Source organism: Homo sapiens, chromosome 8 (genome assembly GCF_000001405.40).
Source record: "Homo sapiens chromosome 8, GRCh38.p14 Primary Assembly".
NCBI classification, from domain to species: Eukaryota; Metazoa; Chordata; class Mammalia; order Primates; family Hominidae; genus Homo; species Homo sapiens.
This window is the reverse complement of record NC_000008.11, coordinates 102257445-102280134: the sequence shown is the minus strand read 5'-3', so window position 1 is coordinate 102280134 and position 22690 is coordinate 102257445. Positions and strand designations below refer to the sequence as shown.

General features: G+C 36.7%; 1 protein-coding gene across 8 annotated transcripts in view; it reads left to right on the top strand.

The window, feature by feature from the left end:
- The window catches only part of UBR5 (ubiquitin protein ligase E3 component n-recognin 5), a 160428-nt gene that overhangs the window by 132566 nt on the left and 5172 nt on the right, over nucleotides 1-22690 (top strand). For 3 of the 8 annotated variants that reach the window (XM_024447179.2, XM_024447178.2, XM_005250962.6), the window contains 16 exons: nucleotides 927-1099; nucleotides 1196-1309; nucleotides 2943-3163; nucleotides 4307-4427; nucleotides 4516-4620; nucleotides 7363-7606; nucleotides 8890-9001; nucleotides 9952-10096; nucleotides 11027-11157; nucleotides 13128-13188; nucleotides 14857-15035; nucleotides 15577-15661; nucleotides 18065-18220; nucleotides 18876-18989; nucleotides 21006-21150; nucleotides 22418-22503. In XM_024447179.2, coding sequence (XP_024302947.1) covers nucleotides 927-1099; nucleotides 1196-1309; nucleotides 2943-3163; nucleotides 4307-4427; nucleotides 4516-4620; nucleotides 7363-7606; nucleotides 8890-9001; nucleotides 9952-10096; nucleotides 11027-11157; nucleotides 13128-13188; nucleotides 14857-15035; nucleotides 15577-15661; nucleotides 18065-18220; nucleotides 18876-18989; nucleotides 21006-21150; nucleotides 22418-22503 — 2192 coding nt within the window. The remainder of the gene's footprint in view (nucleotides 1-926; nucleotides 1100-1195; nucleotides 1310-2942; nucleotides 3164-4306; nucleotides 4428-4515; nucleotides 4621-7362; nucleotides 7607-8889; nucleotides 9002-9951; nucleotides 10097-11026; nucleotides 11158-13127; nucleotides 13189-14856; nucleotides 15036-15576; nucleotides 15662-18064; nucleotides 18221-18875; nucleotides 18990-21005; nucleotides 21151-22417; nucleotides 22504-22690) is intronic. The other 5 variants (NM_015902.6, XM_047421849.1, XM_047421848.1 and 2 more) reach the window with 3 other exon arrangements.

Sequence of the window (22690 nt, the reverse complement as noted above, 5' to 3'; positions counted from 1 at the left end):
ATTATGTTTACCTTTACTCTTAATATACTCTTATTACATTTAATAAAATCTTAGCAAAACCGTTGTTAATATTGATGCAAAATAGATTTAATCAAGAAAATGAGAATTACCAGTTACAGCTCCCAAATATCAGAACGCTAGCAATTAATACAATGAAAAGAGAAAATATCCCAACTCCAGACTTTTCTCCAAAAGTTTTAATATCACACTTTGGGGTCTAGTGGAGTTTATTTGTGGGTTGCAGTTATTTCAAATGGGACTAAATAATGCATTCTCCAGTTTCTTATTATCAACTAGTACTTTTATTCAGCCTATGGAAAGACAGTTGGCCTAATTGCTGTTTTTTGAGAACCCAGCCATAGCTCACTGCCGTTTATACGCAAACAAGGTACTGCCAAAGTTTTATTCCATTAAGGAGATTTGGTGCTAGTGTGCTGACTTACTATTGAGATATGTAAATTGCTCAGACATTACTCTGCTTAGCAAATGCTCAGGTTTCAGTTCCTGATCATCTCCTCTGTTTGGATTTGTCAGTGAGTTGGGTCCTGAGTATACTCATGAATCTAACTGTATTTGGGTGGTGGGTATCTCAAAAGATAAAGAGGAGGATATGGGAAACCTTTGTCCAATACAAAATGGCACAATATTATTAAATGCTGATTTTTATTTTGCATTTTTTATTGTAACATACACATAACGTAAAATTTGCACATAACATAAAACTTACATTGTAACCATATTAAACTGTTACATTTACTTTAAAAAATACCAGAATTTTGGACTATGAACTTGTTTTTGTGTGGCATTAAAATTTTATAAAAGAGGTAGTAGGAATTTTGGATTGAGCAGGTTAAAGGTCTGTTACCCTAATCCAGTAATTAAATAATTTTCCTAAAAAACAAAACATTTTATCTTTTTATGTTTAGGTGCTACTTTGAATGATAAGGATGATGACTCTCTTCCTGCAGAAACTGGCCAAAACCATCCATTTTTCCGACGTTCAGACTCCATGACATTCCTTGGGTGTATACCCCCAAATCCATTTGAAGTGCCTCTGGCTGAAGCCATCCCCTTGGCTGATCAGCCACATCTGTTGCAGGTGAATTAAACAAGTTAGTCTTAAGGTTTCTTTCTAATTGGGTTTATTTTCTTTAAAGTATTCAATGTAACTAGAATATTTCTGTTAAAATTCCAGCCAAATGCTAGAAAGGAGGATCTTTTTGGCCGTCCAAGTCAGGGTCTTTATTCTTCATCTGCCAGTAGTGGGAAATGTTTAATGGAGGTTACAGTGGATAGAAACTGCCTAGAGGTAAGACAGTAAAAGTTTTTTTGCAATATAACATTTATTAAGGACAACTTGTCCCAGCATATAGATTTTTAGAAATGCGTTAATTCAGAATATTATATTTTCTGAAATGAAGTGTCAGAAATTCCTGCCTTGTGGTATAATGTAGGAAGAATTCCAACACTGTCATTAACTTGCTGTCAGATCACTTCATCCATAAAATACCAGCCTCCATATGTGCTTTGTCTGTTTCACAGAGCTGACTGCTGTATGTGGCTGAAAATTTGAATTTTTCATGTATAATAAAAATATATAGATGAGCATGTGTAATTTTGGCTACAACTTTTACTTGCTGAACTAATTTTAATCAAGACTGTAGATAAATAGCATTAATAATGATACCTAATATTTGTTGACTAATTCTGTTTCCTGGGCATTGGTCTCCATCTTTATAACTATGTTTGGTAGAATGCATTATCACCCTGATTTTTTGGGTGAGAAATAGAGTCTTGAAGAGAGTAAGTAAATTTCACGTGGGAATGTCTGTGTCACACAACTAGTTAAGTGGTAGATCTAGTTTTCATATATAGATCCGATTTGGGAGCCTAAAATTATACTCTTCTGTTTGTCCACTGAAAAAGTAGTAAAACATTAAAAAGCAGGTTTAGAAGACATGTAGTTGAATAGAATATTTTTTATTATCTCAGTGATAAAAAGGAGAATGCAGTACTGAAAATATTAAAAATATATGAGACTTAAGTACCACCAGTATTATAAAGATTTCTTTAAAAGTTCTCTGAAGTTCCAAGGCAAGAAGTGAATTTATTTATTTATTTATTTAATTTTATTTTTTGAGACAGAGTCTCGCTCTGTCACCCAGGCTGGAGTGCAGTGGCACAATCTCGGCTCACTGCAACCTCTTCCTCCTGGGTTCAAGCGATTCTCCTGCCTCAGTCTCCCAAGTAGCTGGGATTACAAGTGCCCGCCACCACGCATGGGTAATTATTTTGTAGTTTTAGTAGAGACAGGGTTTCGCTTTGTTGGCCAGGCTGGTTTCCAAGTCCTGACCTCAAGTGATCCAGCCACTTCAGCCTCCCAGAGTGCTAGGATTACAGGCGTGAGCCACCGCGCTCAGGCCAAGAAGTGAATTTAAAGGAGGGGGGTGGGTAAGGCTGGTTGTGCTGGCTTATGCCTGTAATCCCAGCGCTTTGGGAGGCTGAGGTGGGTGGATCACTTGAGGTCAGGAGTTCAAGACCATACTGGCCAACATAGCCAAACCCCATCTCTACTAAAATTACAAAAAATTAGCTGGACGTGGTGGCGGGCGCCTGTAATCCCAGCCACTCGGGAGGCTGAGGCAGGAGAATCACTTGAACCCAGGAGATGGAGGTTGCAGTGAGCCAAGACCACGCCACTACACTCCAGCCTGGGCAACAGAGCAAGACTCCGTCTAAAAAAAAAAAAAAAGTAGTTATCTGAGGTTGGTTTGGTAATGCGTTGGAATTGGTGGTCAGCCAGGGCCATCAGACAAAAGGACCATTGAAGCTCCAGAAAGGGAAAAAAAACTTGCGTATGATTCCTGTATTACTAAGTTGAGGACAAAATCTAATTAGTTTTTTTCCCTTCATTTGTAACTTTTAAATGTAAATATTCATAGGTTCTTCCAACAAAAATGTCTTATGCTGCCAATCTGAAAAATGTAATGAACATGCAAAACCGGCAAAAAAAAGAAGGGGAAGAACAGCCCGTGCTGCCAGAAGAAACTGAGAGTTCAAAACCAGGGCCATCTGCTCATGATCTTGCTGCACAATTAAAAAGTAGCTTACTAGCAGAAATAGGACTTACTGAAAGTGAAGGGCCACCTCTCACATCTTTCAGGTATTTGCTAAGACCCTTTGTTTTTATTGTTCAGTACAGCGTTAAAAATATATATCCATGTCTAGTTACCATTTATAGACTTGCTATTAGCAGCTCAGCTAAGGGGAAACTGAATAACTAGAAAGAGTAGAACTTTCTAGATTTGTGATTCACACTTATCTGTGCTCCTTTTCCAAGTTTGTAATTCTCTTACAAGAGGTAGGTTCTTTGTTTATCTAACAAATATTTGTTAGTATATACTGTGGCTCAGTATGATTTGTTGACTCTGTTTTTTGGTTACATGGCATAATAATTTTTTTGCTTAGATGGGAGTTAAAAAGCTAGTTTGAAAATAAGATACACTGTATATACGTTGTCTAATAACGATGTAAGACAGGGGAGAATTGTGGACTTGAGTGGCCCAAGCTTCCTAGAAGCAATATGGATTGAATTGAGATGGTTAGAATGTGCAGAAACAGACTGGAGAGAATTAGAGGTAGGGAGGCCAGCTAAAAAGCTGTTTGTTATTACTAATAGTTTCAGTTAGTTGGGGGAAAGATGCTGAGGCAGAATGTTGGCTTTAGAAAGGACATCATGGAAAGGAAGAGAAACTTAAGATGGACTTGATCACTTTGAAGGAAGAGGAGGAAGAAAAATTAAAATCTGGTCTAAGTCAGGGCATTAGGGAAAGAGATGTTACTACTGAAAAAAAATCAGGAGAACTGTCATTGTGGTGAAGAAGCCATATTAAGTTTTAACCATGCTGAGTTTGAATTGAGCATCGTTGACGTGGACATATTTATTTAACAAATGGAGATTCTGGTTCATGGTGAAAGTTTGAACTAGAGGTGGATCTGGGAGTCACCTAAATGGAGATAGACATTGGACTTTAAGGAGAGGAGGTAAAATGAAAGACGAAGATAAGACATAGCCCAGGGATTTATCCGTATGTAGAATACAGAAGGAATAAGGGAGGAAAAATAATAAGTTGTCGGGAACAAGTAGCTATGGAAAAGTTCTCTGTTAGGACACAGTTTGAAGAAGTTAAGACCTCAGAATATTTTTTAAAAAAAGTAAGTTACTACCATTGAACAAAAACCAATCAGTCTTTGAAATTGGCTAAATTATTTCTCCCCCCCACCCCTTCCCTTAAACTTCTTACAGGCCACAGTGTAGCTTTATGGGAATGGTTATTTCCCATGATATGCTGCTAGGACGTTGGCGCCTTTCTTTAGAACTGTTCGGCAGGGTATTCATGGAAGATGTTGGAGCAGAACCTGGATCAGTATGTATTTTGTGCACCTTAAATTCCATTCTGCCTGATAAGCATGTATTTCAGGGAATAATCTGTCATGCATTTTTTTTTTTTTAAGATCCTAACTGAATTGGGTGGTTTTGAGGTAAAAGAATCAAAATTCCGCAGAGAAATGGAAAAACTGAGAAACCAGCAGTCAAGAGATTTGTCACTAGAGGTAAAGGTATTTAGATTTTCTTATACTATACCTGTAGTATGCTATTTATATAAATTTTAAAACATGCAAAATAACAATAGCTTTGCTTAGGGATATGTACTTATAATTAAAAATTTAAAGAAAATAAAAAGAAATGTTAACTACCAAATTTATTTTTTCGTGTGTGTGTGTGTGTGTGTGTGTGGTTTCTTTTTATTTTTTTCTTATTGTAACCACCAAATTTAGAATAGTAGTTTTCTCTGGCAGTTTGGTTCCCTAGCATCCTCTATGAATTTTTTTGTTTTAGTTTTTAAGTATCATTATGCATGCATTGATTTAAACTTTTTTTGATGTATTTAATTCCATTGAGATTATTATTCATATTGATGCTCAGATTGTGTCTTCTTTGGCTAATGGGAGTCTTGAGTCAGTTTTGATTCCTGAGTTCTTTTGACATGGCCCCAATAATTTTTGATAAACTTTCTTACTTTCTGGTATGTTTCATCTTGGGTATTTCCTGTCACAGACCTTAAATCAGCCATTTCTTAAAGTAGCTTTGATTCCTTTTAGTAGGAAATTGTGTTATGAGATTACAGTCTGTGCTCTAAGGTTGCATATTGCTACTGGGTTGATCATGGTTTCTAGGCCTTTTTAATTGATAACAGTTTGGGAATGCATTTTTTTTGTTCTTTTTAAAAAATCAAATAATGAATTAATATTGATACTCCCAATTCAAATTCAGGATTTAGGACCACAAGGTTGTTTTTGTTATGTTTGCTTCTTAGATTTCTTTCTTTTTTTTTTTTTTTTTGGAGACAGTCTTGCTTTGTCGCCCTGGCCAGAGCATAGTGGCATGATCTTGGCTCACTGCAACCTCCGCCTCCTGGGTTCAGGTGACTCTACTGCTTCAGCCTCCCGAGTAGCTGGGATTACAGGTGTCTGCCACCATGCCTGGCTAATTTTTGTATTTTTAATAGAGACAGGGTTTCACCATGTTGGCCAGGCTGGTCTCAAACTCCTGACCTCAAGTAATCCACCTGCCTTGGCCTCCCAAAGTGCTGGGATTACAGGTGTGAGCCACCACACCTGGCCTTGCTTCTTAGATCTTAAGTCTTTATCTCCTTTCTTTCAAACTGAATAGCCAACTTCCCAACAACATTAATCAAATTACTCATTTGTTTTAATGCCACAACATACACAGTAGCAGTCTTAGAATTACATCACTGGAATCTGAGGTGGAAGGATGGTTTGAGTCCAGGAATTCGAGGACAGCCTGGGCAACATAGTGTGAGAGACTCTGTCTCTTACAAAGAATTATAACATCAACACTACCACTAACAAAATGATTATTCAAAATAATTGAAGATTTATTTGCGGATGTTTGTCCTTAGGTCATATGCAGTTAGAGATACACAGTTAAATTAGGTTTGTTTTAAAGTCACTTGAAGTAATTCTTCTTTGTAGGTTTTGCTACCAGCTCTATATAATTAGGGCCTTTTGTTTCATTTTGCTTTCAGATTTTAGGGATTCGTTTTTCCTCTTTTGGTTTTATTTTGTAATCAATGTAAAATATCTACAGTGTGGCAGAGTGAACTCTACAAAAGAATGGATATAAGTCCATTCTTGTCTCTTTTACCATTTTTTCAAGTTTATTTCCTTCCCTCCCTTTTAAAACATATAAGCATATGTATGTATTAATTACATACCTCCTCCCACCTCCCCAAACATACTATACATTTTATTCCATCTTGCTTTTCTCACTTAGTAGTATATCCCAGAGAAAATATGAGATGTTCTACCTTCCTTTTATAGCTGCTTAATGTACTGCACTTTAATGGTTGTTATCGCAGTTTTTGCAGCTAATCCCTTACAGACTAGGTATTTGGGCTTGTTTCCAGTCTTTTGCTATTACAGATAGTGTGATGAATGGCCTCGTGTTTTTTTTTGCTAGTGTGTCCCTGAGATAGATTCTTAGACATGGAATTGCTGGGTCAAAGAGCATGTGCATATAATTTTGCTAGACATTGACAAATACTTCTGCATAAGCAGTTGCATAATTTTGCATTTTCACCATCAATGTGAGAATGCCTGATTGCTCAGTCTCGCCAGCAGTTGTTAAATTTCTAGATTTTTGCTAATCTAATAGGTAAGAAATAGCACCTCAGTATAGTTTTAATTTGAATTTATCTTATTTTGAGCAAAGTTAAACATTATTTCATATAGTTAGGATAGTTATATTTAACTCAGTTGATATGCCCATTTTTCTAAGTTGGCTTTCTCTCAGATTTCAGAGGCTTTTTATGTAGCTGTAGGTGATAGACACACTCATTAATTAATATGTATCTTTGTGACAAAAGGTGCAAACAATTTTTCCAGTTTGGTTAGTCCCCCTCCAGCCTCCCGCCCACTTAGCTTGTCATCAAGGAATCTGTTTTTTTTCTAGTATTTTTTTTTTAACATCTCTGATCATTTGGTATTTTGGTGTATCCCAAAATTGAACAAGATTATTGTTTTCCAATAGACCTTTGAAAGAAAGTGTTAGAATTGAATTAAATTCTGTTGTCCTGATTTAATTTGCAAGACATTCTTGTATGCTTTAAAGTATTGTATTTTGTAATGGATAAGCTTCTGAGAACTCCAATTACTTTGTTGTTTTTTAAACTCTCAAGGAAAGGCTAAAACTAGATTTTCAGATTGTACATAGAAAAATTCAAGCTACTTTCCAACATTGAATTTACTACTTTTTGACTTCTTGATGTGTTTTAATAGGTTGATCGGGATCGAGATCTTCTCATTCAGCAGACTATGAGGCAGCTTAACAATCACTTTGGTCGAAGATGTGCTACTACACCAATGGCTGTACACAGAGTAAAAGTCACATTTAAGGATGAGCCAGGAGAGGGCAGTGGTGTAGCACGAAGTTTTTATACAGCCATTGCACAAGCATTTTTATCAAATGAAAAATTGCCAAATCTAGAGTGTATCCAAAATGCCAACAAAGGCACCCACACAAGTAAGTACTCTACAAATAACAAGCAGCTTAAAATTCTTTCCTTGTTCCTCAAACCAACAGTGGTAATCATGGTTTCTATATGTGTGAGTGCATAAATTTGCATTTTTACATACTTTTATTCTAGATTGATTTAATCTTGTTTAAACTATTCTAATGGACAACAATTTGCTATTCTACGGACACATTTATTTTGATAAATGTTTGTGATTGTACTAGTTTTTCATCTCAATTGTTACATGTTGTGGGTGGGTAAGAGGTTGTAAAATACATAGTGATATAAAAATTCACCGATCAAATTGCAGCATTTCCTCCACTTCAATATTTAACCCACAGGGATATTTGAGAAGAAAATGCTATTCTAAGAGCAGTGCTGTTCACATTATGATTTCCAAACTTGCTCCTGGTCCCCAGTGAGATAAGGACTTTACAACCAAATGCAAATCCACTGTGTCACTAAGCTCACTGTTTAGCAAGACTTAAAACAAAAAATCCTGGTGCAAGCTTATTACCCCACTGAGGATCAACACTTTGGGGTTAGGACTCTTAGCTAAGTTTTAAGATTACAAGGATCAAATTTTAAAATTTGTGAAAATTACAAAAGCCTTAGGAGATTCACATCAAGTAGGAGCAGAAGATTATCAGACTTGTAGGTGGATGGAGACTGACTGAGCTGTAGAAAGGATTGAGGGTGAAAAAATGGGTGAGAGTTCCTCAGCTTTTCATCAGTTTCACCATTTCACTTTCTATAATGTTATAATGAGAAGAAATTAGGAGATGTGAATGAGGAAACTGGGAAGTCTTAACATTTCCAAACTATCTGTTTTGTACACTTATAGGAAACCATACTCTGGCTTGGGCTTAGGAATTTAAAAATAATAATAGGTAATATTCTGGTGGCCTTTAATGCTTTCATGCCAAAAACTAAGAACAGAGGATATTTAAATGAGTCTAGTCATGTAAGAAATTTCAGCGTTATTTATAGTGACACTATCATAACCTTACTTGCTATATATTATTTCACAGCTTTGACATGACAAGGGAGAAAATTGATTAACAAATATTGAGTGAACATCTATTTCGTGCCAGGTATATTCTACACAATCACCTCCAACCCTGAAAACCCATAGGGAGAGAAAGGCATTAACAACACAGATGCTAGGGAAGGATAATCTTTAGCTGTCATGTTTTCTTACATTTGTCTCATTTCTTTGCATTGACTTTGAAATTTAAGGTAGTTGAATTTGCATTCATCTAAATACAGTATATTTCTGATTTTCTTCTAGGTTTAATGCAGAGATTAAGGAACCGAGGAGAGAGAGACCGGGAAAGGGAGAGAGAAAGGGAAATGAGGAGGAGTAGTGGTTTGCGAGCAGGTTCTCGGAGGGACCGGGATAGGTAAATTTTGTATCTTTGATTCAATACCACCTTTTTGGATGAATTAGAGATAGGCCTGTAAATGAAAGAATCTTAATTATGGATTATTTTTTAGAAAAGTAAAGTTTTAATTTTGAACATATGTATAGTAACTAAGAATAGTCTGTTAATAAAATACAATAACTAAGAATAGTCTATTAACTAATAAAAAGTTCTGCTTTAAAAACCCAGAGGCGGTTGAAATTATATTCTTTTTATCTGACTCAAGTTCCTATTTGAATTTTTTTACCCATATCATTCTCTCCTAAGTTTATCTTAAAAAGTCTTCATTTTTCAGGCCACATGCGGTGGCTCACGCCTGTAATTCCAGCACTTTGGGAGGCCGAGGTGGGTGGATCATCTGAGTTCAGGAGTTCAAGACCAGCCTGACCAACATGGTGAAACTCTGTCTTTCCTAAAAACAAAAAATTAGCCAGGTGTGGTGGCGCATGCCTGTAATCCCAGCTACTTGGGAGGCTGAGGCAGGAGAATCCTTTGAGCCTGGGAGACAGAGGTTGCAGTGAGCCGAGATTATGCCATTGCATTGCATTCCAGCCTGGGAAACGAGCAAAATTCTGTCTGGCAAAAAAAAATTTAATTTTGGCAGATTGTGCTATTTAGAATCTTTGAAGTTTTCTCTTGTTAAGATGGATTGCATTTTACTTTTGACTAAAATTTCCAGAATTATGTGTGGACTCTTGATATCTGGTATGTTAAGGTCCTACTCCCTTACAATAAAAATTTTAAATTAAGTAACAAAATCTAGATAATCTTTATTTCCTAACCATCATCTGTTTTGGCACTCTACCACCTAGGTACCATAACTGAACAACCTATATGCTCTGGTTTTCTAACTTTTTTACTAGTTGTGCTAATATTTTTACTTGTTAGTCAAAGGAAATGAAGTCATAATAGTTTTCCTTCTCTTACAGAGACTTTAGAAGACAGCTTTCCATCGACACTAGGCCCTTTAGACCAGCCTCTGAAGGGAATCCTAGCGATGATCCTGAGCCTTTGCCAGCACATCGGCAGGCACTTGGAGAGAGGCTTTATCCTCGTGTACAAGCAATGCAACCAGTGTGTACTGTGTACTTAGTTACCTCTTAACTGGCTGTGTTATTTTTTTGCTTTTGAATTAAAGATGGTGTTTAAAAAAAATTGTCAGCTACTGGCAAAACCACATGATTGAGGACTCTTTTTAGCTCTGCAGTAAGAAGGAAGCTCAGGAGAGAATAAGGCAGTGTTTACTGAAGGGTAACTGTATAGCTTGAATTTATTTTTTCCTCCACCCACCTTATGTTGGGACACTGTCTCCATTCTACCTTCCTTGCATGCTAAAGAATTTGCTGTGCATTATATTTATTGTATCTTCATTTGAACAAATTATTACTACTTTTGGAGCAGACTTTATCTGTTAGCAAGCTGTAGTTGGAACACATTAATGCTGATTAGTATTGCAGGAAGAATTTTATTTTGAATGTTCTATCAAGAGTTTTTCTTTATATGATATGAAACACAAATTAGTTATGTTTTTTGTCTTTATGCATAACTGTATGTACACATTTTATAGTGAAAGAATAACAGAAAACTATTATTTCTTCCAGCAAGTCCTCAGCCTTAAACATAGGTATATTTTTCTCTACCCTACCCCCTTCTTTTTTTCTACCCTAAATAAAAGATATTTCTGGCTCTCTGATGAAGAAAAAAATATGGAAATTGAGTATATGTATGTTTAACTCAGAGATATAAAAAAACCTAAAAAGAAAACTTGTCATACAAATATTATAAGTAGCCTTAACAAGATGTGGTACTGCATGGACTGTTTATTCCCTGCCAAGTTTCTCTATAATTGATCTTCCAGTTTCATAAAAGACCTTACTGGTTCTGAAATTTTGTATTTGTTACCCAAGTTTCTTATTTTATTTTTTTTTTAAATAAAAGATTGTAGATGTAATTAGACAAGAGGTTTTAGAGAGTAGTCAAGTAACATTTGTTCATCATTTACAGGCATTTGCAAGTAAAATCACTGGCATGTTGTTGGAATTATCCCCAGCTCAGCTGCTTCTCCTTCTAGCAAGTGAGGATTCTCTGAGAGCAAGAGTGGATGAGGCCATGGAACTCATTATTGCACATGGACGGTAATGTGTACAATTGGGAAGGCATTTCAGTTTAAACATCAGCTACTTACTTTCAGTATGTGGGTGCCATCATATCTTAAAATTTATGTCATAAAGTATAAGACTTTAAATGCATTTTTATTTATTTTTTAAATGATAGCTTAAATTCCATGAATGAGACAGCTTAGTTTCTTCTCATGTATTAGAAAGGTAGGGTTTTAATAGTTACCAAGGTTATTTGGAAATTACTTGAAAGAAAGTACATCTCAAATTCACTTATCAGAATACCCTCCTGGCAAAGGCCATACATATTATACTGTGTTCTTGCCATAACCATGACATTTCTTTTAGGCTTCCTGATTTGTCTTAAAAATTCATGGAAGTTTTTGCTTTCTATTCTGTAAAGTATGAATTTAATATAAAATCTAAAAAATATCTAACAGATTACATATCCCTTTTTCCAAGGTGACAAGTAAAAGTGACTTAGGAAGATAAGGCCGGGTGCGGTGGCTCTCACCTGTAATCCCAGCACTTTGGGAGGCTGAGGCGGGCAGATTGCCTGAGGTCAGGAGTTCAAGACCAGCCTAGCCAACATGGTGAAACCGTATCTCTACTAAAAAAAAAGTTAAAAGTGGCTGGGCACGGTGGCTCATGCCTGTGATCCCAGCACTTTGGGAGGCCAAAGCGGGTGGATCACGAGGTCAGGAATTCGAAACCAGCCTGACCAACATGATGAAACCCGTCTCTACGAAAAATAGAAAAATTAGCCAGGCATGATGGTGGGCGCCTGTAATCCTAGCTGCTCGGGAGGCTGAGGCAAGAGAATAGCTTGAACCCAGGAGGGTGGAGCTTGCAGTGAGCCAAGACCATGCCATTGCACTCCAGCCTGGGCGACAGAGCGAGACTCCATCTCAAAAAATAAATAAGTAAATAAATAAATAAGCTGGGTGTGGTGGTGAGCACCTGTAATCCCAGCTACTCGAGAGGCTGAGGCAGGGAGAATTGCTTAAACCCGGGAGACAGAGGTTGCAGTGAGCTGAGATTGCGCCACTGCACTCCAGCCTATGTGACAGAGCGAGCCTCTGTCTCAAAAAAAAAGAAAAAAAAAGGGAAGATAGGTCACATTTATGCTGTAGTTTCTATCCTGGGGCTAATCTGATACCCAGTTTGAAACTTTGAAGTGTTTATTATTTTAGATGAAAAGTTGTATTTTTTTCTTCCTAATGAGTTAGGAATTTAGATTAGATACACTCCTAGAGATGTATAAGCTGGTAGGCTGGGCACTAGAGCTAAACAGCCACTTCTAGAGCCTTTTAATGGTCCAAGCCAAAGACTGTTGAGAGAACTGTATTTTCTTTGCTGATGCTCTTTTCTTCTCTGGATTTTATGTACTGTTCGTTTATTCCTCTGCCCTGTCTCTGGAGCTACTGCATACTGGTATAGCTTAGTCCATTATAGAAAAATCAAGAACAATGTACATTTTTGGTGAAAAGATTTTTGTGAGTATATGTTAAGAGTTGCGTATTTAGTCATGTTTTCTGTTGAATGCAACCAATGTACAATATTGACAGCTTTCACCTGGCTTTCTGGAGTAAACAGTGAATTTATTGGTGTTCTAGAATCATTAAATTCGCTAGAGAATTTGCTAGTGAATTTGGATTGCTTTCTGAACATTTTTCTGTTCTTCTGTAGTGCTCCCTCTGAGCATTGTAGAAGTGTTCCAGCACCCCTATGAAGACCACATTCATTTTGTCAGGGAGCCTTTAGTCCACTATCTTGAATCATACATGAAGGATCTAGTGATACACTTTTTTAAAGATTTGTATTACCAACTTCTCTGCTCATACTGCATTAGTACTAGCAGGTGCATTGGATATTTATTGACTCCAAAACTTGAATGTATTTTGTAAGTAAGTCCTTTTAAATTTAAATTATACGCTAAATTCTAGAAGTCTCCGTTATCTGGAATGTGAAAGGCTTTTTGTTTTTAGGGAAAATGGAGCTGATAGTATCCTGGATCTTGGATTAGTAGACTCCTCAGAAAAGGTACAGGTAAGGAACATTTTATTCATGTGCTGATAATCACAGAATTTAAATTACAAGGAAATTTCAATAAAGGGGATGAAAGCAGGATTTCTGAAGAAACTGTCTTTATAAATAAAATGAATGTTTACAGTAGAGAGACAGAAGCAAAGATAAATATATCGGTATTATGCATAGAATCAAATAATAAGCTTGGCTTAATTAGGGCTCAGTATAATCCCACCCATTGGTTGGCATCCATTTGAGCACAGCTTGAATTAAGCTTTACTTTGAATAAGTAACAAATTGAAGAACAGAGAGGGAAAGATGTATAGAATCCTAGGACTAATTCACCAGGTGTGGTGGCTCACGCCTGTAATCCCAGCCCTTTGGGAGACCGAGGTGGGCAGATCACGAGATCAGGAGTTCTAGGACTCCTGGGACTCATTCTTCAAAGAAGTAGCTGGTGCCAACATTGCAAAAACAAGTGACATATCATGCTATAGCATAAGGAAGCCTTTTTAGTTGGCATTGAAACAATTGCACATAGAAGGTGAGACTTCCAATTTGAACCTAAGTAGGTTGATTGCCTACTAAATTCATATTAATTTACTAAGACTCAGAGTTTTCACAACTAATTCACAATGCCCAGGATACACTCTAAAATTACTCAGCCTACAAAGAACCAGGAAAAACTGGATCCACCTCTCTCAGGAAAAGAACCAATAGATGGCAACCACGAGATGACCCACTTGTTGGAATTATCAAAGACTATCCCATGTTCTGCAAGATAATGGTGAACACTGGTGAATGGAAAGACAGAGGTTCTCAGCAGACACACACAGGAACTTCAAAAGAGAACAAAGGGAAATTTTTAGAATTAAAAGGGCAATATCTAAAAGAAAAAAATTCACAGGATGCATCAATAGCTGAATGAAGGTGTTGGAGGAAAGTGTCAGTCAGCTTGAAGATAGATGGAAATTACCCTTTCTGAAGAACAGATAGAGAAAATATTTTAAAACAAAAGGACAGTTTCAGGGAGACCTGTGGGACAACTTCAAAAGATCTAACATATATGTCACTGAAATACTCAGGGGAAGAGAAGAAATTGCTATAGAAAAAATATTTGAAGAAATAAATCATGGCTGGGCACTTCCTAAATTTGGTAAAAGACATAGATTTCCAGATTCAAGAGTCAGTGAACTCAACAGAATAAACTGAAAGAAAACTATGTCCAGATACATTATAATCAAACTTCTGTAAAATAAAGAAATGTTATTGAAAGCAGCCAAAGAATGGTTCTTTACCTATAGGGAAACAGTGATTTGAAAGAGTGGATTTCTCACTATAAAGTATGAAAGCCAAAAGTCAACAAACTCATCAAAGTGATGACAGAATTCTGTATCCAGTGAAAAGAATTTTCAGGCAATAAAGTGAAAGAAGCTTATCCGAGTTTCATTAAATGACTTTATTTTAACAACAGAGACGTTAAAGACCTAATAATACACAAGCTTTGTGTGTCACATTCTGAAAGGGCAAATTAAAAGTTCATTTACCTTTAATATTGTTATACACATATATTTAAATATTTATGTTGCTCTTCCTACCTGACTTCATTTGAATGATTTGAGAGAACCATTTCATATGTTTTGTTTTTTCAGTGAATCTTGGGGCTTACTCTCTGATATTCTCTGTTAGCAGGAAAACCGAAAGCGCCATGGCTCTAGTCGAAGTGTAGTAGATATGGATTTAGATGATACAGATGATGGTGATGACAATGCCCCTTTGTTTTACCAACCTGGGAAAAGAGGATTTTATACTCCAAGGCCTGGCAAGAACACAGAAGCAAGGTTGAATTGTTTCAGAAACATTGGCAGGTAAAAGAACTTTAATCTTGGGTTTGAATTTTTTAAAACATTTCAATTTATGAGATTTTCTAAAATATATTTGTTTTAAAATGTATGTACGCTGGGTGCGGTGGCTCACACCTGTAATCTCAGCACTTTGGGAGACTGAACTGGGAGGATCACTTGAGCCCAGGAGTTGGAGACCTGCCTGGGCAACATGGCGAAACCCTGTCTTTACTAAAAATAAAAAAATACTAGCGGGCATTGTGCTGCAATGCCTGTAGTCCCAGCTACTTGGGAGGCTGGCGTAGGAGGATGACCTGACTGTGGCACTGCACTTCAGCCTGGGTTGACAGAGTGAGACCCTGTCTCAAAAACAAAACATTCTCAGGCTGGTGTTCCTGTTTTTTTTTGTTTTGTTTTGTTTTTTGAAAAAGTGTATGTGCTGTACTTTATGCTGAATAGAAAGGAGGCTGTAGAGAATTTCTCAAAATATTAATACGTATTATGTGTGGGGGGATATATGTATTCTAGAATTATTTAAATCTTATTTCTCTGTGTTTGTTTTTAGGATTCTTGGACTATGTCTGTTACAGAATGAACTATGTCCTATCACATTGAATAGACATGTAATTAAAGTATTGCTTGGTAGAAAAGTAAGTGATTTTGATGAACCTAATTGTATTCACAATTGCAAAAATTTTCTTTTATAAAATAATCAAACGCTAGCATACTGTTTATAACATTCATTTACTATTAAATCTTAAAGCATTACAGCCATTATAAATAACTTTAAAACATTTAATTATACAATTATGGTCAACAAAAATAAAATTAATAAATTAATGACAGAAAAAGACTATGGGGAGATGGCATAGCAGAGTAGATAACACAAGTGGGGCTGGGGGGTCTGACAGACCTACGTCCTGTTGCAAACAAATATGCTGACATTTCTGCCATGTTTCCCCATTTATAAATTGGTAAGAAACACAACATCGTAAGTACCTGGCAAATAGTAAGTGATTGGTAAATTGTATCCACTATTATTAGTTGTACCTGGTGTTAGAGAAGGTAGTGGTATTGAAAAGAGCCTTCCAGGCCAGGCACGGTGGCTTATGCCTGACACCTGTAATCCCAACACTTTGGGAGGCCAAGGCAGAAGCATCTCTTGATCCCAGGAGTTTGAGACCAGCCTGGACAACGTACGAGACTCTGACTCTACCAAAAATTTTAAAAGTTAACTGCGTGTGGTGGCATGCACCTGTGGTCCCAGCTATACTTGGGAGACTGAGATAGGAGGATCTGCTTGAGCCCAGGAGTTTGAGGCTTCAGTGAGGCATGATTGCACCACTGCACTCCAGCCTGGGTGACAGAGCAAGACCCTATCTCATAAAACAAAACAAAAAAAAAATAGAGCATTCTAACTTCAAAAATACCTATAAGAGGTACATGGGGGTGGCCAAAGAATGTAAGAAGTACAACACAGCATGCTCAGTATTGATCTCTGGATGATGGAATTAGCTTATCTTTATGTGTTTTGATAGTTTGGTAGCCTGCACCTCCCTTTATGATGGCAGGGGGAAAAGAAAAACCGTTTGCTTTAAAATTAATATACAATGCTAATTATGCAGCTTTTGATTTAAAAGAAAACTACCCACGTTCCTAAAAATATTTTAGAGAAATTACTTGACACAAAACAAATGGAATAGACTAAGTGCCTTTATTTTTTTCTTTTTTTTTTTTGAGACAGTCTCACTCTGTCACCCAGGGTGGAGTGCAGTGGCACGATCTCGGCTTACCGCAACCTCCACCTCCCAGGTTTAAGTGATTCTCATGAGTTAGCCTCCCGAGTAGCTGGGATTGAGTAAGTTCTTATTGTCGTCAATAGGTTCTTGGAAACTGCAACTCTAATTGAAATGAAACCAGTTTTTTCTTATCAACATTATAATGAAATGATGTTATTTGAGAACCTGCTGTTTGTCATTTCAAAGTTACAGCTAAGAACCTATCAACGGCTTTAATTAATTAATTTTTTTTTTTTTTGAGATGGAGTCCCGCTCCATTGCCCGTGCTGGAATGCAGTGGTGTGATCTTGGCTCACTGTAAACCTCCATCTCCCAGGTTCAAGTGATTCTCCTGTGTCAGCCTCCCAAGTAGCTGGGACTGCAGGCGCATACAACCATGCCCGGCTAATTTTTGTATTTTTAGTAGAGATGGAGTTTCACCATATTGGCCAGGCTTTTCTCAAACTCCTGACCTCAAGTGATTCCCCCAGCTCGGCCTCTGTGTGAGTCACCACATCCAGCCAATGGCTTTGAGGATTTATGTTATAGTTTTTTCCGGAGGTACATGTCACACATCTGATAAATAAGCATGTTAAAGCTGTAGCCTCCTAATAATTCTCTTTAATCAGACCTACTGATGAATAATTTTCTATTAGTACAAGAATATCATATTATGATTTTTTCTTTTTAACTCTGACCCTATTAAATTCTTAAAGTGTTCCAGCTAAAATGTTCTTATTTAAAGAACTAGACTCAAAGCTTGGCAACATAAAATTGTTGATATATTGAGTCTTCAGCAGGGTTTAGGAAACAGCTAATTAAATAGACCCAAGTTTAACCCAATAAAGTGACCTTGGGGCAAGTTACTAAATTTCCTTGAGTGTCAGATTTATCATCTGGATTTAATAATCTATATTTTATGTTACTATCAAGAATTAATAAGATGTATATTAAGTTCAGAGCCGGCTGCTCCCCATAATTGGTGTTTAATAAGTAGTGCAAAGTTTTGCAGTTTTGGAACTTTAAAACTATTATGCTTTTGGCTTTATATTTTTTCAAAATATAACCCTTCTTATACTTTGAAAAGCAAATATTGTCAGAGCCAAAGATTTATTAAACTTATCTCTTTAAATAGTTATATACCCAGTGGGAAATTATTCTATATCAATGTATCTTCAAATTAGATAAAATTCTTTATCAGATTTTAATTTACTAATTAATTGAATGAAGATGCTGTTTCTTTCATAACTGAGTTTCATATGATTACTTTTTTAGGTCAATTGGCATGATTTTGCTTTTTTTGATCCTGTAATGTATGAGAGTTTGCGGCAACTAATCCTCGCGTCTCAGAGTTCAGATGCTGATGCTGTTTTCTCAGCAATGGATTTGGCATTTGCAATTGACCTGTGTAAAGAAGAAGGTGGAGGACAGGTAAAGCAAATATACACTTTTCTGATTCTGGCAAGAGAATTTGGTTAAACTGCTGTGCTTGTCTTATGTATAGACAGTTTAGTTAGGGAATGAAAGAGATGAACGTGTGTGTACACATAGGAGAGATGGATACTGTCGGTGTTAAAGATGGATCAAGAGTTAGTGAGACAGACTGAGGTAGAAGGGCTTGTACTTTTTGTGTGTGTGTGTGTGTGAGATGGAGTCTTGCTCTGTCGCCAGGCTGGAGTGTAGTGGCACAATCTCAGCTCACTGCAACCTCTTGACTCCCTGGTTCAAGCGATTCTCCTGCCTCAGCCTCCCCAGTAGCTGGGATTACAGGTACGCGCCACCACGCCCACCTAATTTTTGTATTTTTAGTAGAGATGGGGTTTCACCATGTTGGCCAGGATGGTCTCGATCTCCTGACCTCATGATCCACCCACCTTGGCCTCCCAAAGTGTTGGGATTACAGGCGTGAGCCACTGCGCCTGGCGGCTTGTCCTTTTTTTGGCCTAAAATGTTTCCATCTCTTAGATTCTGGTCAAATAAATAATTGTGTTTATATTTAAAAATTTTAGGAACTAGTTTTATAAACAGTAATGTTTTACTGCTTTGACAAAATTGCCTTTAAATAGCACTGGTAAATTTTTCACAGGTTGAACTCATTCCTAATGGTGTAAATATACCAGTCACTCCACAGAATGTATATGAGTATGTGCGGAAATACGCAGAACACAGAATGTTGGTAGTTGCAGAACAGCCCTTACATGTAAGTGTTTCTAGAAAGTGTTGTGTGATCCAATGAGGCTATTTGTGTCTTAATGTGTGGTAAACTAGCTAAGTATATTCAGCTTATTTATAAAAGGACAAATTTTTTAAACCAAAAGGAATTTATTTACAATGTAAATTACACCTAAGTTTAAGAATCCAGACCAAGTACTCATTTTCTTTTTGATAAAACTACTTGGAAAAACCACGTCATTGTGAGAAAGTAGCTTTGGCAAACAAAAGTGTGGAAAGGGTGCTTATGGTACCAAAATGACTGTTTTAGGGTCCTACTGTTTTAGTGGTAGAGTTATTGAGACAGACTGAGAGGTACAAAGGCTTTTTATACCAAAATGTTTCCATCACTTAGCTTCTGGTCAGATAAAGAATTGTCTTTATATTTTAAAATGTATGCATAAAATAATATATCTTAGTCCTTTGTCCTACTGTATTAGCGGTAGGACCCTAAAACAATCATTTTGGTACTGCAAACAGCTTTAGTTTTATTTACCAAAGCTACTTTGGGTAACCTGCTAAAAGAACTCAACAGGACTCAGAAGCAGTTGTACTTAATAGTTATTGTTTATTGTAGCAAAAGGACCCACAGCAAGATCAGCAGGGGAAGAAACAAACATTAGGCGGAGTCTTGAGGAATCCAGGTGCAGGCTTTCAAAGTTCTGTCTCAAGCAGGGGAATGAGTTATTGCAAAGAACACACTTCTTCCACTAGTGAAATGTATCAACATGTATACATTATTTGTGCTTAGGGAAGCCCACTTTAGAGTCAGAGCTCAGTGTTTTTATTGGAAGCTAGTTCCATGGGCATTTTCTATCTGCACAACCAGCCATGATTACTGAAATTCCAGAATCCCTGAAGAAAGCACATGTTCATCTTGAACTGCATTGTTTGCACAAATAGTCCAGGCAGTCTGATACAGCATGGTTCATTGCTCCAGACATTCAAAACAGCCTTACCAGTTAGTAATGTTGGAATATTGCAAAAACCAAGTTCTCAGACACCAGCCAATGCCAGCCCTACTAGTCAGGCCCTTGTAAAGAGTAACATCAATCCTACTATGTTAATGTCTTCCCCATCCAGGGTAAAAAAAAATATTTTTTTTTTTAAGACAGTGTCTTGCTCTGTCACCAGGCTGGAGTGCAGTGGCACAACCTTGGCTCAGTGCAACCTCCGCCTCCTGGGTTCAAGTGATTCTCCTGTCTCAGCCTCCTGAGTAGCTGGGACTATAGGCGCGCGCCAGCATGCCCAGCTAATTTTTGTATTTTTGGTAGAGACGGGGTCTTGATCTCATGATCTGCCCACCTTGGCCTCCCAAAGTGCTGGGATTACAGGCATGAGCCACCACACCCAGCCTGTAAAATGTTTATATAGCTTTATGACTGATGGTGTTGAGTGTTTCTGATCCCTGTGCTACAATAATTGTGCAGGCTTTGGAGTCATACTGTTAGAGTTGAAATCATGGCTCTACCACCCTCTAGCTGTATGATGTTACCAAGTTAAGTTTTTTGTGCCTTGGTTCCCTCCTCTGCAAAATGAGGATAAGATTAAATTGAATTAGGTAAGGTACTAAGACAATTCCTGGCACATCATAATTTCTCAGTAAGCATCTAGCTTTTGAGTTTGTGTCTGGGAGGTTTGTTGTTGTCAATTTATCTTTCCTGAGATACTGACAGGGTAGCACTTTTTAAAGATTGAAGCTATTCTTAATGACTAGCCTGTTTGTTATTAACAAAACTTTTAAAATTGTTAAATCACTGGGATATAATACTACTTCACTATTGAACCCATAGCTTATTCACTATGCCTTCCCTCCCCACTTCCTGCCTTTCTCTCTTTTGAATCCTAAGAAATAAAAAATACAGGACTGAATTTTTTTTGCTATCTGGCATAAAATGGGAACTAGCATTGTTAGAGAAGGCTGCTAAAATTATGTCTTGTGCTTTAATAATATAAATAAATGTTACATGGAAAATGAAGTATTATTGTTTCTGAAATTCTCTAGGCAATGAGGAAAGGTCTACTAGATGTGCTTCCAAAAAATTCATTAGAAGATTTAACGGCAGAAGATTTTAGGCTTTTGGTAAATGGCTGCGGTGAAGTCAATGTGCAAATGCTGATCAGTTTTACCTCTTTCAATGATGAATCAGGTAGGACATTTAAAAAAAATGTTTAAAGAATGAACTATATAGATAGGTCAGTCAGCATTTTCTGAGTTTCTAGTTCTTAAGGCCTGTTTATAGGGTTTGGGAAATTGCTGTATTACTCAAGCATTAAAACAATTTTTTACATTGTTTTTAAAGGTATGTTTGAAGTAAATAGTATTTTGATGGCTTAGCATTAGGCTATTCTTAACTCTTTTACTGCTTAATTTTTCTAGGTTTCAAAAAATATGAATACAAACAAAAATTTTTCATGGTGAGCAACTGTGTAAAAAAGGATTTGTATATAGTGGTTAAGAAAAAGTAATCCATGTGACAACTCTCTGGGCTTTTCTGATTCATGTTGCTTAAACTCCCTAATGAAAGAATTTGTATGATGATTGCTCTATAGAGCTGGACCCAAATCACACTTCTAAAAACACAGTAGCACACAAACACTTCCTAGATTCCTAGAATCTAGGAAGAATAAGGAGTGGTAGTGAAAGTCCTCTTGAAAGAAAAACTTTTATCTCCAGTGTTTGATTTGCTGCAATTCTTTCTTTTGAAAGTCCTATGGTCTAGGAATAGGCTTTTTAGCTGTGACTGTACATTAGAAGCTCCAAGAAGTTCTCTGTGAAAGGATTATACCTATATTCCAAGATTATTATGTACACAAAGGTACTGATTTTTTTCCCCTTTATTTTTCCTATTTTGCAAGCAGCTTCAGCCAAATTATATATTGTAATAGTTTTTGTGCTACCTTGTAATACAGTTTTTAATACTAATAAGAATTTGTCTCATTTACAAACCAAAAATTTAGGAAGGAAAACAGTATCCAAATAAACTGCCTAAGATCTTGCCACTCCAAGTATGATCCTCAGATCAGTAGCATTGGCATCATCTGAAAGCGTTTTAGACAGGCAGAATCTCTGGTCTCCCCTCTCTGCATTCCCCACCCAGTGAATGAATGAGAATCTGCATTTCTTGAGATCATAAGAATACTGACATACAGATGAGATAAAACTCATGTGAATATCAGTTTTAAGGCTGGTGGTTCATTTGTTTTGGTCATATTGAGTCAGGATTGACTAATGAACTGTAGAGGTTTTGCATTATGCAAATGCTCTTAATTTCTTGTATTAGGAATTAGACGCTCCCCCCCAAGTCTTAAATAATGTTTTAATCTGTATCCTTTTATTATAAGAAGATTAGTAATATTCTACAGATAATAACAACAACTGGTATAGTATATTTTATTTACATTCTTCATTCTTAGGAGAAAATGCTGAGAAGCTTCTGCAGTTCAAGCGTTGGTTCTGGTCAATAGTAGAGAAGATGAGCATGACAGAACGACAAGATCTTGTAAGTTAAAAATTTCACAAGATTTGTAGAAGGAAATACAGAAGTTAAAAATACCATGTATGATGGCCTTTTAAGTTTGTAATGGTTGGTCATTTTAATTTTGGGTAGGGCAATTATAGAAGGTCACAAATAAGGCAGTTTTTGTTTTTCTGCTCTATAACAATATCTGAAGTATTACTAAAGCTCT